Raw genomic sequence first — 23,339 nt, forward strand, 5'->3', positions numbered from 1 at the left:
AGTGGCTCATGCCTGTAATCCCAGCACTTTGGGAGGCCAAGATAGGCAGATCACCCGAGTTCAGGAGTTCAAGACCAGCCTGGCCAACATGGTGAAACTCTGTCTCTACTAAAACTACAAAAATTAGCCGGGTGTGGTGGTGGGTGCCTGTAATCCCAGCTACTCGGGAGGCTGAGGCAGGAGAATCGTTTGAACCCGGGAGGTGGAGGTGGTAGTGAGCTGAGATTGCGCCACTGTACTCCAGCCTGGGCGACAAGAGTGAGACATTGTCTCAAAAATAAATAAATAAATAAACAAAATGAAACAAAACTTGGTTTTTTAAAAAAGTATATCTGAAAGAGGTTGGGAAATGACAGGGGAAAGAAGTGAAAAGAAGGATAGGAATGCTAATGATTCATCTTAGACCTTGGCAACTCCAAAAATACAATCTACGGTTCACAAAGCAAGGAATGGAGGTTGGAGTCTGCTGTGTGAAATTGCAGAGTTGACTGGTGGAAAAACAGAAAATGGGGGCATAACTATATTGAAAAGACTGTGCAGAGGAAATATAAGGGTACTAGTCAACAGATGTTTGTAACTGTTAGACCAAAAAAAAAGGCATTAAAGGAACTAAAAACAGACAGAGCTAAAAAAAAAAAAAAAAAAAAAAAAAAAAAGGAGCGGGGGCAGGGGGAAGTTACCTTGGAGGAGAAGGACTCTGGGTAGGGATAAGAGAGACGTCTAAGCCCTTCCATACCATTTAAATTTTTGCATATGCATTTGTTACTTTGATTAAAATTTTCAAAATGAAACAAACAAAAAATTGTACCTATCCAGTTCACATCATGACAGATACGGAAACAGAATCCATCATAGTGATTACAATTCTCAAACAAAGGGCTGAAAGCTTCTGTATTAACATGTAAAGGAGCACTCTTGGCAGGTGCGATGGCTCACGCCTGTAATCCCAGCACTTTGGGAGGCCGAGGCAGGCGAATCACGAGGTCAGGAGTTTGAGACCAGCCTGGCCAACATAATGAAACCCCGCCTCTACTAAAAATACAAAAAATTAGCTGGGATTGGTGGTGGGCACCTGTAATCCCAGCTACTCGGGGGACTGAGGCAGGAGAAATCACTTGAATCCGGGAGGCGGAGGTTGCAGTGAGCCAAGATCATGCCACTGCACTCCAGCCCAGGCGACAGTGCGAGACTGTCTCAAAAAACAAACAAAGAAGAGGAATTGAACACAGAAAAGTCAATATTCACACCCTGATAGCTAGGACTAGAAGAGGAAACTTAGAGACACACCTTAAGACTCCATATGCCAGAAACATTTCCCAGGCAGAGGTAGCTGAGGCAACAGGCAGCTACGGGAGAGGGGAGTTAACAGCTGGCAAGAAAGCTGTTCCTCCCTGTTTGGGGAAACATGCATGAGACAGTCCTTATCCATACAAATGACCTCCCTAGCACATGGAGACGGGATTAGAAAATGTCTCTTCTAAAACTTTTAAATCAGAAGCCCTGCAGAATGAGCCACCCATCCTGAGAGATGGTCTGCAAATGTACTTACCAATGACACTTGAATGGCCCCAAATCTCAGAGAGATATCAATCCAAAATGTAATTACTATGAGAATAACTTGACTTTTTAAATTATTGTGTTAATTTAGAATGTCACAAAAAAGGTCCAAAGGGCATGAAGCTAAAAAAAAATGATTAGAGCTTGAAAATTTTTTGGTATTTTCCCCAGGAAAGATAATACTCTAATCTAAATGGACTTTTAGTTTTAGCTTTGACAGGTGAAGAGTAAGAGGTCATCATCCCCACCCTTACAATAGGAAAAAGCTGAACAAGCTCAAAATCAATGACTTTTCTTGGACCATCAGAGAACTGAGTTTGCAGGGAAACCTGCTCCTCTGAAATCTGGAGAGACAAGTGCATCCAGAAAGTCACAGCTGACATCTGCTTACCTGGAGCAGAAGCCACCGGAACCATGAGCTGGTAGGAACACTTACACAGTAATTTTGAGGAACCGTTGGAGGCTAAGTGTGGACTAATTTGAAAGTGAGAAGCTCCTGGGGGTCAGTCTTAGGTGGGCACCCACATTTTCATGGACTTTATCTCCAGGAACCCCACCAGGTTCTCATGGTGATGACTGGGAAAACCAAAGACAAAGAGAAAAATCTTGAAAGAACCCTAAGGAGGAAAAAGTAGGCTTCCTGCAGAGGAGCTAGAATAAAAATTATAGTAAATTGCCAGGCATGGTGGCTCACACCTGTAATCCCAGGACTTTGAGAGGCCGAGGTGGGCAGATCACCTGAGGTCGGGAGTTTGAGACCAGCCTGACCAACATGGAGAAACCCCGTCTCTACTAAAAATACAAAATTAGCCGGGCATGGTGGCACATGCCTGTAATCTCAGCTACTCAGGAGGCTGAGGAGGAGAATCGCTTGAACCTGGGAGGCAGAGGTTCCAGTGAGCCAAGATTGTGCCTTGCACTCCAGCCTGGGCAACAAGAATGAAACTCTGTCTCAAATTAAAAAATATATATATAGTAAACTTCTCCTCAGAAAGTATGCAAGCATTGGTAGGAAAACAGGATGACTATAGTTAACAATAATTGAATGTATATTTCAAGATAACTACAGAAGTGAATTTGGAATGTTCCTAACACAAAGAAATCATAAATGTTTACGGTGATGGATATCCCAACTACCCTGATTTGCTCATTCACATTGTACACTTACATAAAAATATAACATGTACCCCATGAATACGTACAACTAGTATGTATTCACAAAAATTAAAAATTAGAAAAAAATAATTTAAAAAAGAAAGTATGCAAGCAAAAAGACAGTAGTATAAAATATTTAAAGTGTTAGAGGGGAAAATCACCAACCTAGGATTCTATATCCAGGGAAATTATCCTTCAAAAATGAAGAAGCACCGGGCATGGTGGTGTGTGCCTGTAGTGTTAGCCCTTTGGGAAGCTGAGGTAGGAGGATCCTTTGAGGCCAGAAGCTCGAGACCAGTCTAGGCAACATAGCAAGACCTCATCTCTACAAAAAAATTAAAAGATTATCTGGGCATGGTACTATGCACTGGTAGTTCCAGCTACTTGGGAAGCTGAGGCAGAAGGATTGCTTGAGCCCAGAAATTTGGGGCTGCAGTGTACTATAATCCTACTTGTGAATAGCCACTTCACTCCAGCCTGGACAACATAGCAAGATCCCATTTCTTTAAAAAATGAGGAAGAAATAGATACTATCAGACAAACAACTGAGGAATTTGTCACCAGCTGACTTCCCTTACAAGAAACGTTAAAAAAATTTTTTTTCAAGCAGGACAGTGACACATATCAGAAACTTGGATCTATATGAAGCAAAGAAGGGTGTCAGAGAAGGTGTAAATGAAGTTCACATAAAAATCTTATTTTTCCTATTCTTAATTGATCTAAAAGATAACTGTTTAAAGTAACAATAGTAATCAGTATTTAATGATTATAGCATGTGGATAAATGACATAAATGATAGCAATGTCAGAAGGCTGGAAGGGAGGACTCAGGAATACTGTTTTTAAGGCACCTGCACTACACATGAAGAAGAAATAGTGCTGTTTGAAGGTAGATTTAGTTTAGTTTTAAGAATATACTGTAAACTCTAAAGAGAACTGCTTAAATTTTTTTTTCAGATGGAGTTTCACTCTTGTTGCCCAGGCTGGAGTGCAATGAAGTGATATTGGCTCACAGCAAACTCTGCCTCCCAGGTTCAAGTGATTCTCCTGCCTCAGCCTCCTGAGTAGCTGGGATTACAGGCACACACCACCACACCTGGCTAATTTTTTTTTTTTTTTTTTTTTTAGTAGAGACAGGGTTTCACTATGTTGGCCAGGCTGGTCTCAAACTCCTGACCTCAGGTGATCTACCCACCTCGGCCTCCCAAAGTGCTGGGATTACAGGTGTGAGCTGCTGCACCTAGCCTAAAATTTTTTAAGAAGAATTTTTTACTGATATTCTGAGAGAAGATAAAATTTTTAAAAATCATATAAATTGCTCAGAGAGTGCAGAAGCAGTAGCATCTGTAGATGAATAAAAAGCCGTTACAAACATGGTCAATATTAATCCAAATATAGTAACAATCACTTTAAATATGAATGGCTTAATACACTAATTAAAGGACAGAGACTGTCAGAGGGTTATCATAAAAGAGGAAGATCCAATTTTATGCTGCCTACCAGAAATATACTTTAAATATAAAGACTCCAAAGTTTAAAAATAAAGGGATGGAAAAAGTTAGACAACACACTGATCAAAAGAAAACTGAAGTAGCGATGTTAATACCAGACAAAGAAGACTTAGAACAGGGAAAATTGTTAGGAGTAAACGGGAAACCTACCTAATGACAAAGGGAATTAGTTCTCCAAGAAATGTGCATGCACCTGATTACAGAGTGTCAAAATACACGAGGCAAAAACGAATAGAAATGCAAAGAGAAAAAGACAAACCCACTGTAGAGATGGAGAATTCAAAACCCTCTGTCAGTAAGTGATAGATCTAGCAGGAATACAATACATAAAGGATATAGTTGACTTGAAGAACACTATCAATCAATTCGATCTGATTGGCATTTATAGAATACTCTATCCAACAATAACAAAACACACATTCTTCTCAACCTCACCTAGAATGCTCACCAAGATAAGACCTCAAAACACATCTTAACAAATTTAAAAGAATAGGAAGACACAACGTATGTAATTCTAAATTAATAGTATTGTTATATAACGGGCACATTCTCTAAAGAATACCTACTTTCCTTTACTTTTATTATTTGCTCATGTGAAAGGAAAAATGAATCTTGGGACCCCAAAATCACTAAGCTAAAGGGAAAAGTCAGGCTAGGAACTGCTTAGGGCAAACTTGCCTCCCATTCTATTCAAAGTCATCCCTCTGCTCACTGAGATAGATACATATCTGATTGCTTCCTTTGGAAAGACTAATCAGAAACTCAAAAGAATGCAAACATTTTTCTCTTATCTACCTTTGACCAAGAAGCTCCGCCGCCCCCCCCCCCACACCCCCCCCCCCGCCCTGCCACTTGGAGTTGTCCTGCTTTTCTGGACCAAACCAGTGTACATCTTACATATATTGATTGATGTCTCATATCTCCCTAAAATACATAAACCAAGCTGCCCCCCGACCACTTTGAGCATGCTATCAGGACCTCCTGAGGCTGTGTCATGGTGTGTGTCCCTAACTTTGGCAAAATAAACTTCCTAAATTGACTGAGAGCTGTCTCAGATATTTGGGGTTCACACTAAACAATACGCCTTCTGATGATCTCTTCTGCCTAGCTAATGCCTGCTCATGCTCAGCCCAAACTTAAAGATTAAAAACTTTAATACAGTATAATAAAAGCATAAACAAAGTTAATCATTGAAAAGTAATCCACAGCCAGGTGCAGTGGCTCACGCCTGTAATCCCAGCATTTTGGGAGGCTGAGGCAGGCAGATTGTTTAAGCCCAGGAGTTCAAGCCTGGGCAATATGGAAAACCCGTCTCTAAAAAAGATACAAAAATTAGCCAGGCATGGTGGCACACACATGTTGTCCCGGCTAGTCAGAGGGTTCAGGCAGGAGGATTGCTTGAGCCTGGGAGGTCAAGACTGCAGTGAGCTTTAATTGAGCCACTGCACTCTAGCTCGGGTGACAGAGTGAGACCATGTCTCAAAAAAACAAGAAAGAAAAGAAAAGAAATCTATGGAAAATAATGCAATATTTATGACATAAAGGATTAATGCCCATAATATAAAAATTGATTTTATAAATCAATAAAAGAGCACATTCATTCTTGACTTAACTCATTCTCTATACAGTAGCCAAAGTAGTATCTTTAAAACCCAGATCTAGCCATGCCATTTCCCTGCTTGAAGTCCTTCAATGGCTTCACATTGCCCTTAGAATGAAGTTCAAAACTCTTAACATGATCCACATGATCTGGTCCTTATCTATCTCTAGATTGGTCTCCCGTTACCCTTCTCCCATCTTTCTCAGGACTCTAGCCACACTGGTCTTTTCTCAGCTCTTCACACCTTAAAGCCTCTGCATGTATCGATCGCTTTGCCTGGAATCACTCCACCACCACCACCCTCTTCGACTAATGCCCACTTTTCCTTCAGATCTCAGCTTAAACATCATTTCTCATGAAAGTCTTCCATCATCAATTCTGGATTGGTTCAGATCCTCTGCTATTTGCTCTATAAACCTGAACAAACAGAATCATGTTTCTGAAGCTTCAGAACTCCAAACAAGACTCTGAGGAGTGACCCTTCCAAGGAATGTGAGGTTCCAGGCAAAGCCTCTAGAATCTTCTTATCTATAATAGTCAGGGTTGGTGAGGAAGCTCAGGAGAAAGTTAAGATGAGCGAGTCTAAGCTATCCGTTCTGTACTTTTTTTGAGTATAGACAACTTTGAGAACTTAATAAAATCTATGGGATTCATTTCTTCTTCTGGAGATTGCCTCTCCCCCAGAAAAAGTCACAGAAGCAAAATTTTGTGTAATGTTATCAATGTTGCAAAGTTCCCCTAACATCCATTTATCCACCTCACATTAAGAACCCCAACCATTGGATGTTATGTATTTGTCACAGGCTGAAAACAAACAAACAAACAAACAAAAACAAAAACAAAAAAAATCAGCCCAGTGAGAATCTCATAAAACAAACACATTGGTTCCCTAGCTTTGTTCATTTAATCAATGTTCATTGAGTATCTACAGTATAGTGATTCCAGCAATAATAACACCTTATAAATGAAATTTACTTTACAATTTAAAAGAAAATAAAGACTTTTCATGTACATTGTCTCACTCTTCCCCCAAACCCAATAAAGTGGGCATAGATTACTCTACCTATTTTGCAGATGAGAAAACATAAGTAATCCCAGGGAACACGAGTGATCTGGTTCACACAACTCAGCCAAAAAGGAGTGAAACCCAGCAGTAAAACGCACTCTTTTAACCCTAAGCCTGGCTCTTTCCTTCCATGTTGATATTGACTCCAAGGGCCCGTGGCTGGTACTAGGACTTGTCCTTAGTAATCTGATAATAATCCCAGGGGCCACAGTCTCAGCCTCCAGTTCCCATGGTGGTCAGCCTCACGCTCTCATATTCCATGTGATGATGCAATTTTGCCAATCAAAGGTCGCAGCAGCAGGACTCCCCTGACGTATAGGAGAAGTAGCCAGAGCTCTTCATCCCCTGCCAGGAGAGCATAGTAGCTCACATTTATTGAGTTCTTAGTACACGCTGGGCACTGTTCTAGGCTTTTTACATGAATTAACTCATTAAATACTCAGAACAAAACCATGAGGCAGGTACTATTATAATATTATCTCCATTTTGTGGACACTTAGGAAAGATTAATTTGCCCGAGTTTGCACGACTAATAATTTTCAGAATCGAGATTTGAATCCTGGAGCCTGTGCTCCTAACCAAACCACCATCTGCCTCTCCTGAGCCCATTGTCCTTAACTTCTTGCGGTCATGTGTGCTGGAGAGAATGTGATCAAAGCCCTGGACCTTCTCCCTAGGAAAACGCAGGTAAACAGAATTTTGCATATTTCAGGGACTTTGGGGACACCTAAGACCCATCTACTGTCGACCTCAGACTTAGAAGCTCTATTTATCTCATACATCCTGGAGAGAATTGTCCAGGGACAAAAACAGAAGCGCCGCCAGCGCCGCAGGACTTCGCCTCTGCAAACGTGTGAGGAGAGCTGCGCTGCGCTGAGCTGCGTGGTGACGGAGATGCCCGTTCGCTCGGGATCAGGAACGGTGAGCTCCTGGGACCGCAATGCCCTGAGAACGCAGCCGGGTGCTGAGCCTCCGGAGTCCGGTAGCTGAATGAAATACGCAGGGATCACCAGCCGGACCCAAATCTTGCGTCCCTGCCAGCATCCTGGAGTCCTAAGAGGCAGGGATTGGAGCGGACAGGATCTCAGAACTCTGGTCCCGGGCGCACAACGGCGGAGTCGCTGTTCCTGGTGCTGAAACGCTCAGTCCTGGAAGAACGTGGCCGCCTGCCCGCCTGGTACCGCGCCGCGGCCGCTGCGGGGAACTGTCCAGTGCTGAAAACGGATGCGGCCCGGCCCGCAGAGCTCAGACCCAAGCCTGCCGCACCCAGCGGAGCTCGAACCGAGCTCCTGGAAGCGCTGACGCAGAGCGCAGGGAGAGCCGGAGCGGCGAGCTCCAAGCCTGGCATGGACCTGCAGAGACCCGATTCCTACCAGGGAGGAGCTGGCCCTGACTTCAACGACCACGTCCTGCATAAGGTAAACATCTCCTGTATTCCTCAACCTAACGTTGGAAGAGGCGCCAGCACCAGGAGTTTTCTCCACTCCCCTGACTTTGCTTTGGGACTTAATGAGAAACTAGCTTGTATCTGTGAGTCTGGGGAGCCCTTTCTGTCTGATCCTGTTTCCTGCTCAAAACAGAGATGCGTGAGCTCTTGGGGAAGGGCTGCCGCCAGAGGCTCAGATGGTCAGAAGCTTCATTCATTCACTTACATCATCTGTGTTCCTTTTTCACCCCCTCCTTCTCCTTGCCTATTTATGCCCCTGGGTGACCCCTGGCACCTTGCTCTCCTAACCCTTGTAGGAGACTGCATTTCTCCCTGTTACATCTGCTAGCAGTGGCCAAATACCTGAATTTCTGGCCAATTTGTCTGAAATTAGATAAATGGTCTGCAGCAGAGATGAACTGCTGTTTTCAAATCAGACTCCCTCATGGCTCCAGAAAGCTTCCCTCCAGCCATGATTCCCTCACAGCCCCTGTAAGCATTTGCTTATTTCAAAGCACTAACATATCCATTGCTTCCTTCACTCAAGTTTCTTATGCAACTCAGTTTTCAGTAATGCAGGTCTCCCCCTAAGATAGTTGTTGGGAAAAATAGTAGCCTCTCTCAGGATAACAGTTTTAATTCAAAATCCATCACTCTGAAATAATCAAAGTGTTATATTTGCCATAAGAAGTTATTATGGCTCACCTTCCTTTTCTCTGACTTTGCCATGCCTTCCTGCTCCAGCCCCTATATTTTCTGCTTTGATAATGCCAGTTCACCTGCTAGTCCTTTGAAAAGCTGTACGTGATCCTATAGGTGGAGTTTTTTAATCAAAACATCACTTTGAAGAGTCTATGAATGCAAGCTTTGAAATAACCTAACCCAACCTCCTCCTCTATCACCCAGCTTATATTTGAGGAAACTAAAATCCAGAGAGGAAAAATGACTTGTCCAAGAAAGCAAGCTGGTAAATGGCAGAGCTGATACTAAAAGCCAGAAATTACTACTACACGTGTAGTATTCTTTCCTCTATATCCTTACTAAACTTCTCATCAAAGTGTGCAGTCCATGGACCAGCAGCATTGGCATTACCTTGGAACTTATTACAATAGAAAGCCCTGACCCTAGATTGGCTGAATCTGAATCTGCATTTTAACAAGATCTCTAGGAATAAATATGCACAATAAAGTTTTAGGTGCATGGCTCTGTGCCATGCTGCCTGTTTCTGACACAAATGAAAGAAAATCAGCTATTGAAGGAAGCAGGTCTCTAGATCTGACAGTCCATGTGTCTTCTCCCTCCAGGTCTCTGAATTCCTAGGATATAGAGAAGGAGAAAAAATGTATAACAACTATCCCAGTCTAGAAATTTTAAAGCCATCACAGTTTGAAGTAAACTAGAAGAAATTCTGTGCTATTTGATGTTGTCAATTTAGCCCAGTAAAAACTGCATGCAAGGCCAGGCATGGTGGCTCACACCTGTAATCTCAGCACTTTGGGAGGCCGAGGCGGTGGACCGCTTGAGGTCAAGGGTTCAAGACCAGCCTGGCCAACATGGTAAAATCTGTCTCTACTAAAAATACAAAAATTCGCTGGGCATGGTGGTGTGCGCCTGTGATCCCAGCTACTCAGGAGGCTGAGGCAGGAGAATTGCTTGAGCCTGGGAGGCAGAGACTGCAGTGAACCGAAATCACACCACTGCACTCCACTCTAGCCTGGGCAACAAAGCAAGACCTTGTCTCAAAAAAAAAAAGAAAAAAAAAGTTTATGCAAGCAGAGGAACATAATTACAAATCAATTACAAAATTTTCCTGGCAACTAGATATGTGGGTCTCTCCAAGTTTATACCATCCTATAAAGGTATAAATACTCATTTTGAAAGCTTTAAGATTGGGAGCTCAGATTGTTCAAAATATTGATCAGATGTGGTATTTTCCATTTCAATTACCCACACACGAGATGTAGGATGTAGTCCATGAAGACTGTTACTTCCTTTGAGTTTATTGATCACCAAATTGAGAGTGGGAACCCATTCCAACAAGTTCCAACATATTTAAAGGCAAGTATCTATTTACTACTAGTAAAGGCTCAATGTCATCAGCTTGGCTGTGTGAGCACCCTGAGAGCAGGAGCCAGCCTTAAACCTTCTGTGGTGCCCAGCAGAGTGACATATGTATGTAAGGAAAGTTTTCCTTCTTATATAGTGCTGACAACCTCCTCCTAATACTACTTTATGATTGTGCATGATGTTTTATTGTGATCCACTTAAAACTCTTTTTGTAAAGGGGTAGGGCATCAACTTATTTGTATTATATTAAAAATTACTATGTAGTAGAGTCCAAGGAGTTCCCATTGATTGATTAGTGTCTATTGTCCATGAGAAGCAGGGCTCCCCTCCAACATTAATTGCTAGGATAAATTCTTTTTTTGAAGTGGGGTCTCAGTCTGTCACCCAGGCTGGAATGCAGTGGTGTGATCTCAGCTCACTGCAACCTCTGCCTCCCAGGCAAGTGATTCTCCCACCTCAGCCTCCCCAGTAACTGGAACTGCAGGCATGTGCCACCATGCCTGGCTAATTTTTTGGCAGTTGTTGTTTTGTAGAGACAGAGTTTCACCATGTTGGCCAGGCTGGTCTTGAACTCCTGGCCTCAAGAGATCCACCCGCTCGGCCTCCCAAAGTGCTGGCATTATATGTATGAGCCACCATGCCCAGCGTGGGGAAATGATTTTTTAAATAGACTTGTTATTGACACATAACAAACACCACTTTGGGAAGCTGAGGCGGGCAGATCTCTTGAGGTCAGGAGTTCAAGACCAGCCTGGCCAACATGGCGAAACTTTGTCTCTACTAAAAATACAAAAATCAGCTAGGCGTGGTAACACACTCCTATAATCTCAGCTACTAGGGAGGCTGAGACAGGAGAATCACTTGAACCGAGGAGGTGGAGACTGCAGTGAGCCAAGATCACACCACTGCACTCCAGCTTCAGCAACAGAGCAAGACTCCATCTCAAAAAAACAAAAAGAAATATGACAAACACCAAAAAATCCTGAATCTTATGTGTCTACCTTGGTGAATTATCACAAAGTGAACATACCTGTGCAATCACTATCAAGAGAAAGAAATAGAACCTTGTCAGCTTCCCAAGAGGCCCCCTCCCACATTCCACTTGCCAAACACCCTCCCCCAGAGATTGTCATTATAGAGGAAGAAGCATCATCTTGTGTTTTGACAGCACAGCAGATGTTATGTAGGGTAGTCCTAGAAACTTGCCAGAGAAGAGATATTGTCGTATGATGAAACGAAACTCCAGGCTTGGAATAAGCCAAACCTTGATGTGACTTTGAGCAACATCTGTGAGTCTTAATTTTCTTAGCTATAAAATAGGAATGATAATACCTGCCTTATTATTTTTGAGCAAGGATGTTAGCGAATATAATGTAACGCGTATATATAAAATCTCTGGAATATAGGAAGCATTCAATAAAAGTGGTTGTATTGGCTGGGCGCAGTGGCTCCCAGCACTTTGGGAGGCCAAGGAGGATGAATCATGAGGTCAGGAGATCGAGACCATCCTGGCCAACATGGTGAAACCCCATTTCTACTAAAAATACAAAAATTAGCCGGGGGTGGTGGCATGCACCTGCAGTCCCAGCTACTCAGGAGGCTGAGGCAGGAGAATCGCTTTAACCTGGGAGGCAGAGGTTGCAGTGAACCAAGATCACACCACTGCACTTCAGCCTGGTGACAGAGTGAGACTCCATCCGAAAAAAAAAAAAAAGTGGTTGTATTAGGGCATGCATCTTGGGCTCCAAAGCAGCTTCAATGGGTGTCACATTCAGTCTCACCTAAAATGATGAGCTTTGTGAGAAGAGCAGCAGCTTCATACAAGAGAATCTCAGAAACACACACACTACCTATTTCACAGGCAGAAGTCCATGGAAATAAACTCACACAACCCATCTATACAAAAAGCGTGACTTCTATGCAAACATCCCAGTTCTGACTTCCTAAGTTGAGTATCTTTTTTCTCTTGGAGGTGGTGTATGGGACTTGATGAAATTCATTTATATGAAAAACATACGCCAAATATCATGATAGGCATTGTGTAGCTCTTGCACTTTAGCTGGTCCCAATAGTTGGAGGCTGACCCAGGCAAGCCCAAGTAACTCTTAGAAGATTCCCGTAGGGTGGGCTGGAAGCTGGGAACTGACTGAAAACATTGAGCTCATCCATCATGTGCCTGGAGTTTTTAAATAGAGTTGTTGTTGCCACAAATCTGAAAATTTGGTGCAGCTAAATAATTTAAAACAAAGGAGCAACCTGGCTGCTCTTTTCCTTAGAGAACTCTCAGTTCTCTCTTGCCACCAGCTTCAAGAGCCATCCAGGGCAATGGTCTGGGGTAGGGGTTCAGGAACAGCCCACGGATTGGGTCCCTACTGTGCCAGGGTCTGACCTTGAGCTCCCAGAAAATGAAAAGATTTTCATTTCATTTTCACAGAGAGGGCAAGCTTTTGCCCCAGATACCAGTGAATTAGGACAAAAGGGCTTCAGTTCAAGCACTTACTTCCTAATTCCCTATCACCAGGGCTCTAAGGAACATCCACATACCAGACTAGCTTCCAGAGGGACGAACAATTCCTAGGACAAAGTCAGTCTCAGAAAGACTGGGGGTGGGGGGCAGAAAAACGTGAGCTGCTCATCCATTCATCCAGGGCTTGGTTCTTCTTGGGTGAAAAGGGATTACCAGGTCTCTGTCTTCCAAAGTATGTCCATTTCCTCCGACTGCTCTAACACCTCTTCTGGGTGAAAGGAAAAGGCAAGCAGGTAATATCTGCCACTCTCCCCCATCTCCTGCACTTATTCTTCACTTCCTTCTTCTATTACCCATCTTGTAATTTCTGTGTCCCTCAAAAGTCCGCATGCCTCATCGATTCATTCAGCAAACATGCATTGGACATTTCCAAAGCGTAAAGAACTAGGCTGGTCATTGTCGAGAATATAGACGCAAATGATTCCCACCTTCACTAAGCCTGTGGCCTAGAAGGCATGCACACAAATGGCTATACTTTTATATAATTCCAGAAGTGTCCTAAGAAAGATACGGGTAGCTGCAAGGGAGTGACCCAGGAAGAAAAGGTCATGTCTGACTGAATTTGAAATGTCCTCTCTCACTTATGGCTTCTGATTAAAGTTAACCTCCAGGCTTGGCACGGTGGCTCACACCTGTAATCCCAGCACTTTGGGAGGCTGAGGCAGGTGGATCATGAGGTCAGGAATTCGAGACCAGCTTGGCCAACATGGTGAAACTCGTCTCTACTAAAAATACAAAAATTAGTCAGCCGTGGTGGTGCACGCCTGAAATCCCAGCTACTCAGGAGGCAGAGGCAGGAGAATCGCTTGAACCCAGGAAGCAGAAGTTGCAGTGAGCTGAGATCACACCATTGCACTCCAGCCTGGGTGACAGAGTGAGACTCTGTCCCCCCACAAAAAAAATTAAAATTAAAAAATAAAAAATAAAGTTAACATCCATGAGAGACAGAGTTCCACACATCAGCTAGCTCCCTCCCCATGGGACTGTCACCTATTAATCCTAGGGAAAGGTCTGGATACAACAGTGTTCTCCTTCCCTGCCAGAAAATTGTACAAGAGAAAGACAAATAAAACAGCAAAAGACCATACTCGCCATTCTGTGTTCCTCTCTCATTCTCTATCCCACAGGTGCTTCTTTTATTTTTTTTTCGATGAAACAATGATAATGATAATGGTATGCAAATTTGTCCTCAAAAGAATCCAAATTAGCAGAAAAATCCATGCCCTGTAAGTGAAGAGAGTTTTGTTTTCAAAGCGCACTAGTTCCAATTCTCAAAGATTTCTATTGTCAGCTCAGGAACAAACAAGAAAGCCAAGAAAAGCTAGCTGCTCCCTGTATAATATTTCCACTGGCTTGTTTTCCTCTCTTGCTTGCTCTGAAGGCTTACAGATAAACAAATGAAGTGTATATTACATCACTGGCAATCTGGTGCCGTCTGGGACTCCTTTGGCTGATAGGTCGGTCCTGCCCAGATCCCAGAGCAGGCAGCTGGTGTGGGGAGTGGTGGTGCCTGCTAGTTCTCTTAGGATAACCTCAGCAGGAAATGATGGTGACTCAGTCCAGCGCCTCAAAGTCGTTTTCCAAACTCTCCAGGCTTTCCTCTCCTAAGCATCCTTTCCTTTAATTTGTGGTCCCTGGGGCCTTTTGTGAGAAAATGTCTGAGACTCACTTGTGTTGCTGCCCTAATGTTTCCTCTTATAAGCTGTTCTAGGGAGGGACGTCCTTCAGTTTCAGGGCAGGAAACTCCGCCTTACTGGGTGGAAGTAAACAGCCAGAGGTGAGCACCAGGCTGGAGAATTGTTGAAGTGGGCATTTGAAGTGGCTCTAAATTTATCCCAATACCCTTCTTGCTTCCTTCCTCCTCTTCTCAGGCAAGAGAAACAGTCTGTAGAGACTGCGAGTGCGAATGGAGATCACAGCTCCTTGTTAACTCACTCAGGCAATGTAGTTCCCAGCTGGGAGTGGCCCTGGACATCCTCCTATCTCTTAACCAGAGGAGGTTTTCTGGGGCCAAGAGAGACAGCTCCAAGCAAACAGATCTGGAAAATATTAACCCCTAACTGATGACACCAGGCCTCACCCTGCTCCTAAAGGGAGCAAGGCCTTGAGTGGTGCAGTGAAAATAACTTGAGACGTGCAGGGCTCAAGAATTCTCCCAGCACATGGTTCCTGACCTTGATTTCTAAGTCAGCTCCCTCCCTTCTCATTTGCTTATCAGCGCCTTTTCATTTGCTTATTAGCACCTTCTCATTTGCTTATTAGCAGACAGTTTCTACCCATCAACATGAGGATGCTATTTAATCATTTGTGCTTTTGCAAATGCACATGCTTTTAGGTATCTGAAACCAAGCTGTGCTTAAGTTCAAATTTTCTCTTACTTGCTAGCCTTCTGCCCCTGGCCACCACACACACAGACACACAGACACACACACACACACACACACACATGCCTGCACATGCACACATACGCACCCTTCCTCTCATGAGCTGTGGGCAGGGCCAGTGATCATCCGTTTTTGTTCTCTGTCTCCCCTTAGCTTTTGTTATGAGCCTTTTAAAAGCAAAGCAGGCTGGGTGCAGTGGCTTAGTCCTGTAATCCCAGCACTTTGGGAGTCCAAGGCAGGCAGATCACCTGAGGTCAGGAGTTCAAGATCAGCCTGGCCAGCATGAGGAAACTCTGTCTCTAGTAAAAATACAAAAATTAGCTGGGCGTGGTGGCAGGCGCCTGTAACCCCAGCTACTTGGGAGGCTGAGGCAGGAGAATCACTTGAACCCGGAAGGCTGAGGTTGCAGTGAGCCGAGATCGCACCACTGCACTCCAGCCTGGGCAACAAAGCAAGACTCTGTCTCAAAAAAAAAAAAAAAGGCAAAGTAAACATTTCTCCTCCTCTTCTTCCTCCCTCGCCTGTTTGAATTTTGCATTCATACCCTCTCCCAGCAACTCTGTTTATTAAAAATCGGAACTGTCATTTATTAGAGCAGTACCCCTAGGGGAGAGTCAGGAACTGGTAACACCTTCCCCAAGCTCACAGTGAGAAGCAGTGTAAGCTTTGGAAGGGAATAAAGTCTGGTACACAGTCCAGATGAGGCAGACACCCCCTTTCAGCCCCTGGAGTCTCCCTCCTCGCCTCCCCCATGCCTTTACCCAGATCCTTCCTCCTTCTCTGGGTCCCACCTCAGGTTTCATTTGGTTATCAGGTAAGAAATATTAAAAATCATCTCTGCACTATAATCCAAAGGGACCCAGTAAGACTAATAATTGTTCCCAATACATTATCCAAATAAGCATATGGTTTATTTCTGCAGCACTTTACAGTTTGCGAAACACTTTAATATATGCCAAGACATTTTATACTTAACATATGCTTTTTCCAGAAGATGTTACTATTAAACTAATTAATGTCCATATTAATAGGACAGGGAAACAAAGGCCAGATGGCTGGGCATGGTGCTTCATGCCTGTAATCCCAGCACTTTGAGAGGCTGAGATGGGCAGATCATGAGGTCAGTAGTTTGAGACCAGCCTGGCCAACATGGTGAAACCCTGTCTCTACTAAAAACACAAAAATTAGCTGGGTGTGGTGGCGGGCACCTGTAATCCCAGCTACTCAGGAGGCTGAGGCAGGAGAATTGCTTGAACCCAGGAGGCGGAGGTTGCAGTGAGCTGAGATTGCGACACTGCACTCCAGCCTGGGTGACACAGCAAGGCTCTGTCTCAAAAAAAAAAAAAAAAAGAAAGAAAGAAAGAAAAAACTGACTTGCTCAAGGTCATAGCCAGCATTGTGGAAGCCTGAATCATTACAGCAGACCCTTAGATAGCACTTGCATGCCATGTAATATTCTAAGCACTTAGCATCTCTTAACTCACTTAATCCTACAACAAACCTATTTTAATCTCATTTTACAGATGAGTAAACTGAGGCATGGAGACATTAAGAAATTTGCCTATAGTCAAATCCAAGCAAGGTAGACAGGCAGAGGGATAGAGTCAGGAGAGGACAAGGGGCTTCACCAAGAGGGTCACAGATGGTCACTACTTTAGGGCATTGACAGCAGTCCATTGTGTGGCCTTCAGCTCTGTAGAGCTGGTTTTGCTCACTCACTCAAGAGTGGCTCCATCTCTCCAGTCAGGCTGATGTTAATCAGACTCACAAGACATGTATTGCCCTAGATGCCAAGCCACATTATAATCAGGAGATTTTTTTGTTCGCTAAGCATGAAATCCAGGGGAAAAAATGGAACTTGGAGGATTCAAATGTTTAATGCTATCAGGCTGACATGAGTTGGTAGCTGGCTACACTATAGGCACAGCCTCAATCTACGACCCCACTGGCCCCTTCTACCCTTAGGTCCTCTCCCCTACCCCTTGCCCCACCTCTGCCTCCCTCAGCTGTATATATTTAACTGCCTTGGGCCGGACAGTCATTCTATTCTCTCCAGGTCTGTATTTCCTGCAATCCTTTAAGAACTCCTTGCCTTTGAGCTTGAGAATTCCCTGGACTTGACCTGGTTATGGGGAGGGAAAGGGAAGGGATGTTCCGTTCATCATCGCCAGAGTTGTCATTTCATACTTCTTCCTCCATCTCACTCAAGGCCTGTGTCAGAGCCTTAGGGACTTGGATTTCAGGGGCAAGAACCATGGAAGAGTAGAAAGGTGATTGGGGACATTTCCTTATACCCCACCACCACCCCTGTTCACATGCTCCCCTTGAAATCTGATATTTCTGCCTGAGAATCCTGAGAATCAATTCAGCAAATATTTACTGCGCACCACATGCCAGTCCCCAGGAACAAAACCCACTCTTCATTCCCCAAGGAGCTGCGTCCAGCAGGCTGGGTGGATCAGAGGGATGGCACAGGCAGAGATGGCTCAGGCCACATCTGACTGCAGCTCAGTGTGCCACGTGGACCTTGGTGCCCATGAAGGTCAAAGACCTCTAGTCCCATATAGTGGGAAGCTGAGCCCTTGGGGACCAGGTCAAAAGCTTGCAGCTCTCGAGGCTGCCAACTTCTGGCTCCTGGCTGATTGACGGATCTGAGGGGTTATAAAGCCCAAAGTCCCAGGATGGGGCCCCACCTCTGAAGGTCAGAGGGCTCTGAGCCCCTCAACACAGGGATCCCTTCAAGCCCATGTCCAAGAAAGGAAGAGACTCCTGTTGCACTTCTGAGAAGTGCCCAGTGCAAAGACCCCTGTCCAATTGTGGCAGAGTCCAACACATAGAAACTAAGCTGGATCCCTTCCATGACCATCTCCAAAGACATGGGCTGAAAAACACTCAACCAAACCCAAAACACCAGGATCCCAGCCCTTGGGATGACAGTGTGGCACACAAAGAGAGGCTTGGGAAAACAGAGGGGCACGCCACGTGAGCTCTGCAGGCATGTCCTCCAGGACCCTCACTCTCCTTTCCCTGAAACCAGGTCTCCTCCAGACAGCAGGCACATGAGAACCAGCATAGCATAGGCCCTGACCATCACCTGTCCTGACCACCACCTGTGCTGTCTACCACCTGTCCTGTTCACCACTGGTTCCATCCACCACCTGCCCCATCCATCACTTGTTCTGTCCACCACCTGTCTTGTCTACTGCCTTCCCTCTTCACCCTCATCCTGTTCACTACCTGCCCTGTCCACCACCTGTCCTGACCACCTTCTGCCCTGCTCACTGATTTTCTTAGAGTAGGAGGCAGCTCATTAGCAGAGAAAGAGAACTGGGCTTTGAGTACCAAAGAACCAAGCTTTATCCCTGTCTCTGCTGTTAGCCAGCTGTACATTCTAGGTCATTCCATTCCAACAGCACTTTCCAACTTGCAGAAAACTTGCATATAAATCATTTCGGTTGAATTCCCCAGCACTGTGTGTAAAGAGAACAGGCATTATTCTTGACTGCAAAAGGGGAAATCTTGTGATCAGGACTCTCGATTTCCAGTGACAAAACCCAACTCAAATTGGCTTAAGCCGAAAAGAGAACTCATTGGTTCCTGTACCAGAGAAGCCTAGGGAGTGCAGCTGACATCGAGCTCAGCTGGTCCCAGGGACTCTCAGTGACTTCGGCCTCACTCTCTGTCTCTCTCTCTCTCTCATTTTTCTCTCTGGCTTGGCTCCATTCACAGGCAGGCTTCTCCCCGTGGGGCCCCATTATTGACAGCAGCCCCAGGATCACATCCTCACAGCTCCCAATTCCAAACAAAGTCCTAGACCCAATACTCACTGGAGACTGAAATTGCCACATGCCCACCCCTGAACCAATACTATAGCCAGAGGGTAGAACATGATGGACGGCTTAAGCTCGGGTCACATGTCCACCCCGAAGGTGGAGTCAATCCCACCCAAGCCCTGTAGATCAAGAGTGGAAGAAAATGGGCCGGGCGTGGTGGATCATGCTTGTAATCCCAGCACTTTGGGAGGTCAAGGCGGGTGGATCACCCGAGGTCGGGAGTTCAAGAACAGCCTGACCAACATGGGGAAACCCCTTCTCTGCTAAAAATACAAAATTAGCCGGTTGTGGTGGTGCATGCCTGCAATCCCAGCTACTCAGGAAGCTGAGGCAGGAGAATCACTTGAACCCGGGAGGCGGAGGTTGCGGTGAGCCGAGATTGCACCATTGCACTCCAGCCTGGGCAATAAGAGCGAAACTCCGTCTCAAAAAAAAAGAGTGGAAGACAATGGTTTCCAGGGAAAATGGGATGGTGTCATCTGGAGGCTAGCCATGCAAAAACAACAGATGTCCCATGGTAATCCAGGGCAAGGCTGAGTCCCAGCATTTTCAAATCTTTAATGAGAAGTGCCTGAAAAGAAATGAAGAGAACTTGTCACAGTCCCACCTGAACTGGCCTCTTGGTGCCTCACACATAGTGTCATTTAAGACTAAATAACTGGATTTGGGTTATTAATGACTGGACTTGGGAAACAAACTGCTGTCACCCTATGAAGCGATAGGCTTATTGGGGCTGCAGAGCCAGACCTCCCTCTATGGGTGGGAGTAGAATTTTCTCTGAAGGAAATAGATGATCCAACTGTGGACCATCCAGGGAAGAGGTTGATTGGAGCAGGGAATGAGGATTCAGGAAGCTGACGGAGCTCAGACAGGAATGAGGGGAAGCTCTTCCGCCTCTCTTAAGGACCATGGTTAGCTGCTATGGAGACGCCTGAATTTTTCCATTGCTGTGTAGGGCGTGTCAGCCCAGGGCTACATGAACACAGATGAGAAGTGAGGCAGAAAAGCACCAAACAAGGCCAACTTTATGAGTATGCCACCTACAAAGTCACATAACGCCCTGCACTTAGAAGGGCCCTGCATTTGGTTTAACACTTTGCATTCGCCATCTTTAAAGTCTTAATAATGTTTGTACAAGGACCCCTGTATTTTTATTTTATATAGCCATTCTTGCTGCCAGATAAAAACCCCTGCAAGGTCTGAGCCTGGCTCTGTGGGGTAGTTTTGAGCTATTCCCTGGGGCACCTCTGCCTTCTGATGGCCTCACACCACGCCTGGTTTTGGATGTGCCTCGAGTAACCAGGGAAGAGTCATCTTATGCTTTGGGCCAGATGGCAAAGGAGTGGGCAGCACCACAGTGGCATTCACTGTCGAGGGGTGGTTGCGTCCCCAGGACAGCATCTGCGAGGGTCACGGGCAGCAGGAAGTGTGGCCTGGAAGGCAGATCAGACAGTCCGAAGGTGGGTGGGTGGGCAAGTCCTCAGGGGTAAGTGGCTGTGACAGAGGCAGGGGAAGAAGTAGACAGGGATCATGTTTGTGATCTGAGCATTGTGCTGAAAAAACAATAAGTTCATATTGGTGGCTATTAGTGAATAATGAGAGTCATTATTTTATTTATTTATTTATTTATTGAGACGAGTCTCTCTCTGTCACCCTGGACTGCAGTGGCATGCACTCTGCCTCCTCTGCCTCCTCACTGCAACCTCTGCCTCCCAGGTTCAAGTGATCCTCCTACTTCAGCCTCCTGAGCAGCTAGGATTACAGATGTGTGCCATGAAGCCCTGTTAATTTTTTTTTTTTTTTTTAGTAAAGATGGTATTGGCCAGGCTGGTCATGAACTCCAGACCTCAAGTGATCCACCTGCCTCAGTCTCCCAAAGTGCTGGGATTATAGGCGTGAGCCACCACACCCAGCCAAGAGAGCCATTATTATTAATATATTTAATTGCAAAATTTGAAAAATGAAAAACAAAGAAAAAATTTCCTGTGATGCCAGTGTTTCAAAATACATATCTTAAAAATAAAAATGGACTGCGCACGGTGGCTTACGCCTATAATCCCAGCACTTTCGGAGGCCGAGGTAGCTGGATCACTTGAGGTCAGGAGTTTGAGAACAGCCTGACCAACATGACGAAACCCTGTCTCTACTAAAAATACAAAAAAGTTAGTCGCGCATGGTGGCGGGTCCCTGTAACCCCAACTACTCAGGAGGCTGAGGCAGGAGAATCACTTGAACCTGGGAGGCAGAGGTTGCAGTGAGCCAAGATTGTGCCACTGCACTCGAGCCTGGGTGACAGAGCAAGGTTCTGCCTTAGAAAAAAAGAAGATGAAATTGCCATGTAAAAATACATGCATGTGTTTATTTATACATATGTGTGAGATAGATAGATAGATAGATAGATAGATAGATAGATAGATAGATAGATCCATCATAGGAATTTTGTTATACACATTTTTACCTTCATTCTTTTTAATCACTACATAGAATTCCATTGTATAGATAAGTGAAAATTCATGGTTTATTCTGAAATTTTGAAACTCATAGAAAGGTACAAAAACTAGAAGAACAAAAAGAAAATGACACATGTACCTACCATCTATATTTACTAAATGCTAACATTTTGCCTTAAAAAAAAAAAAAAAGAAGGCTCCTATAGGTAGCTGGGATCCACTTTGCAAGATAGCCATGGGATAGAAGGTTAATTGGGTTACTTTGTTTTTGTTTTGATATGGAGTCTTGCTCTGTCACCCAGGCTAGAGTGCAGTGGCGCGATCTCGGCTCACTGCAACCTCTGCCTTCTGGGTTCAAGCGATTCTCCCACCTCAGCCTCCCAAGTAGCTGGGATTACAAGTGTGCACCATCACACCCAGCTAATTTTTTGTGTGTTTTTAGTAGAGACAGGGTTTCACCATGTTGACCAGGCTGGTCTCGATCTCATGACCTCAAGTGATCTGCCTGCCTTGGCCTCCCAAAGTTCTGAGATTACAGGCGTGAACCACTGCTCCAAGCCCTAGTTTGGTTACTTTGAAATCACAGCCTGATGGGTCTGCGGCACTTTTAGTTACACTCCATTTCGTAGAAGAGAAAAGAGATCTGAGAGACATTCAGTGGTTGTTCAAGGGCACTCAGCAGGGAATAAAAGAGAAACCCCAATCCAAGCTTCAACTCCAGACCCTAACTCTTCTCCTTATCCCTCCCTAGATTCCCAAGGTCCTTAGGAAAGGGAAGGCTTGGACTGGAAGCTCCCCCAAACCCCTTTATCACTGACCTCCAGAAATGCTAGTGAAGCCCAGGTGACAATCTCAGCCTGGCCCAGGATAAACACCAAAGCAAAATCAATGCCAGTGGGAGATATTCATTCACAAAGTGGATTCAAGACCCTGCGTGCAGAGCTGCTCAGATGAAGCAGGCCCAAATGCAGTTAGTCACCGTTAATTGGGTCTCAGGAGTGGAGGAGCAAACAACAGCATCCCCTGGGGATTTGCCTCCATCAACCCAAGTGCAGGGTAAGAAGCCCAGGAAAGCAAGCCAAGCTTTGCAAGCACCAGCACTGCCCCTGGGCAGACTCTCCTTCACTCTATCTCCACGTTCTCTCCCATTTGCCCTCATATCTTGTTATATTTTTTTTTTCTTGAGATAGAGTCTCACTCTGTCACCCAGGCTGGAGTGCAGTAGTGCCATTTCGGCTTACCGTAACCTCTGCTTCCAGGTTCAAGCAATTCTCCTACCTCAGCATCCCAGGTAGCTGGGGTTACAGGCACACGCCACCATGCCTGGCTAATTTTTTGTATTTTTAGTACAGACGGGGTTTCACCATGTTGGCCAGGCTGGTGTCAAACTCCTGAGCTCAGGCAACCCACACGCCTCAGCCTCCAAAAGTGCTGGGATTACAGACGTGAGCCACCAAGCCCGGCCTATTATTATTATTTTTGAGATGGAGTCTCGCTCTGTTGCCCAGGCTGGAGTACAGTGGCACCATCTCAGCTCACTGCAACCTCTACCTCCTGGGTTCGAGTGATTCTCCTGCCTCAGCCTCCCGAGTAGCTGGGATTACAGGCGTACACCACTACACCTAGCTAGTTTTTGTATTTTTTTTAGTAGATACGAGGTTTTGCCATGTTAGCCAGGCTGGTCTCTAACTCCTGACCTCAAATGATCCACCCATCTAGCCCTCCCAAAGTGCTGGGATTACAGGCATGAGCCATACAACCAGC

At 45.0% G+C, this 23,339-nt stretch overlaps 1 protein-coding gene and 1 long non-coding RNA gene across 2 annotated transcripts in view; one reads left to right on the plus strand and one right to left on the minus strand.

Annotated features, from left to right (window-relative positions):
* Positions 1 to 6,707: 6,707 nt before the first annotated feature.
* Positions 6,708 to 14,258, minus strand: RAB37-AS1 (RAB37 antisense RNA 1). Its single transcript, XR_007065904.1, has 2 exons — positions 13,997 to 14,258; positions 6,708 to 13,116 (listed from the first exon to the last, which is right to left on the minus strand). It is a non-coding gene; the product is annotated as an RAB37 antisense RNA 1 (long non-coding RNA).
* The window catches only part of RAB37 (RAB37, member RAS oncogene family), a 76,205-nt gene continuing 60,644 nt past the window's right edge, over positions 7,779 to 23,339 (plus strand). The window contains exon 1 of the mRNA NM_175738.5: positions 7,779 to 8,306. Within this exon, the coding sequence (NP_783865.1) occupies positions 8,235 to 8,306 (72 nt within the window). The 5' untranslated portion in view covers positions 7,779 to 8,234. The remainder of the gene's footprint in view (positions 8,307 to 23,339) is intronic.

Source organism: Homo sapiens, chromosome 17, assembly GCF_000001405.40.
Source record: "Homo sapiens chromosome 17, GRCh38.p14 Primary Assembly".
Taxonomy (NCBI): domain Eukaryota; kingdom Metazoa; phylum Chordata; class Mammalia; order Primates; family Hominidae; genus Homo; species Homo sapiens.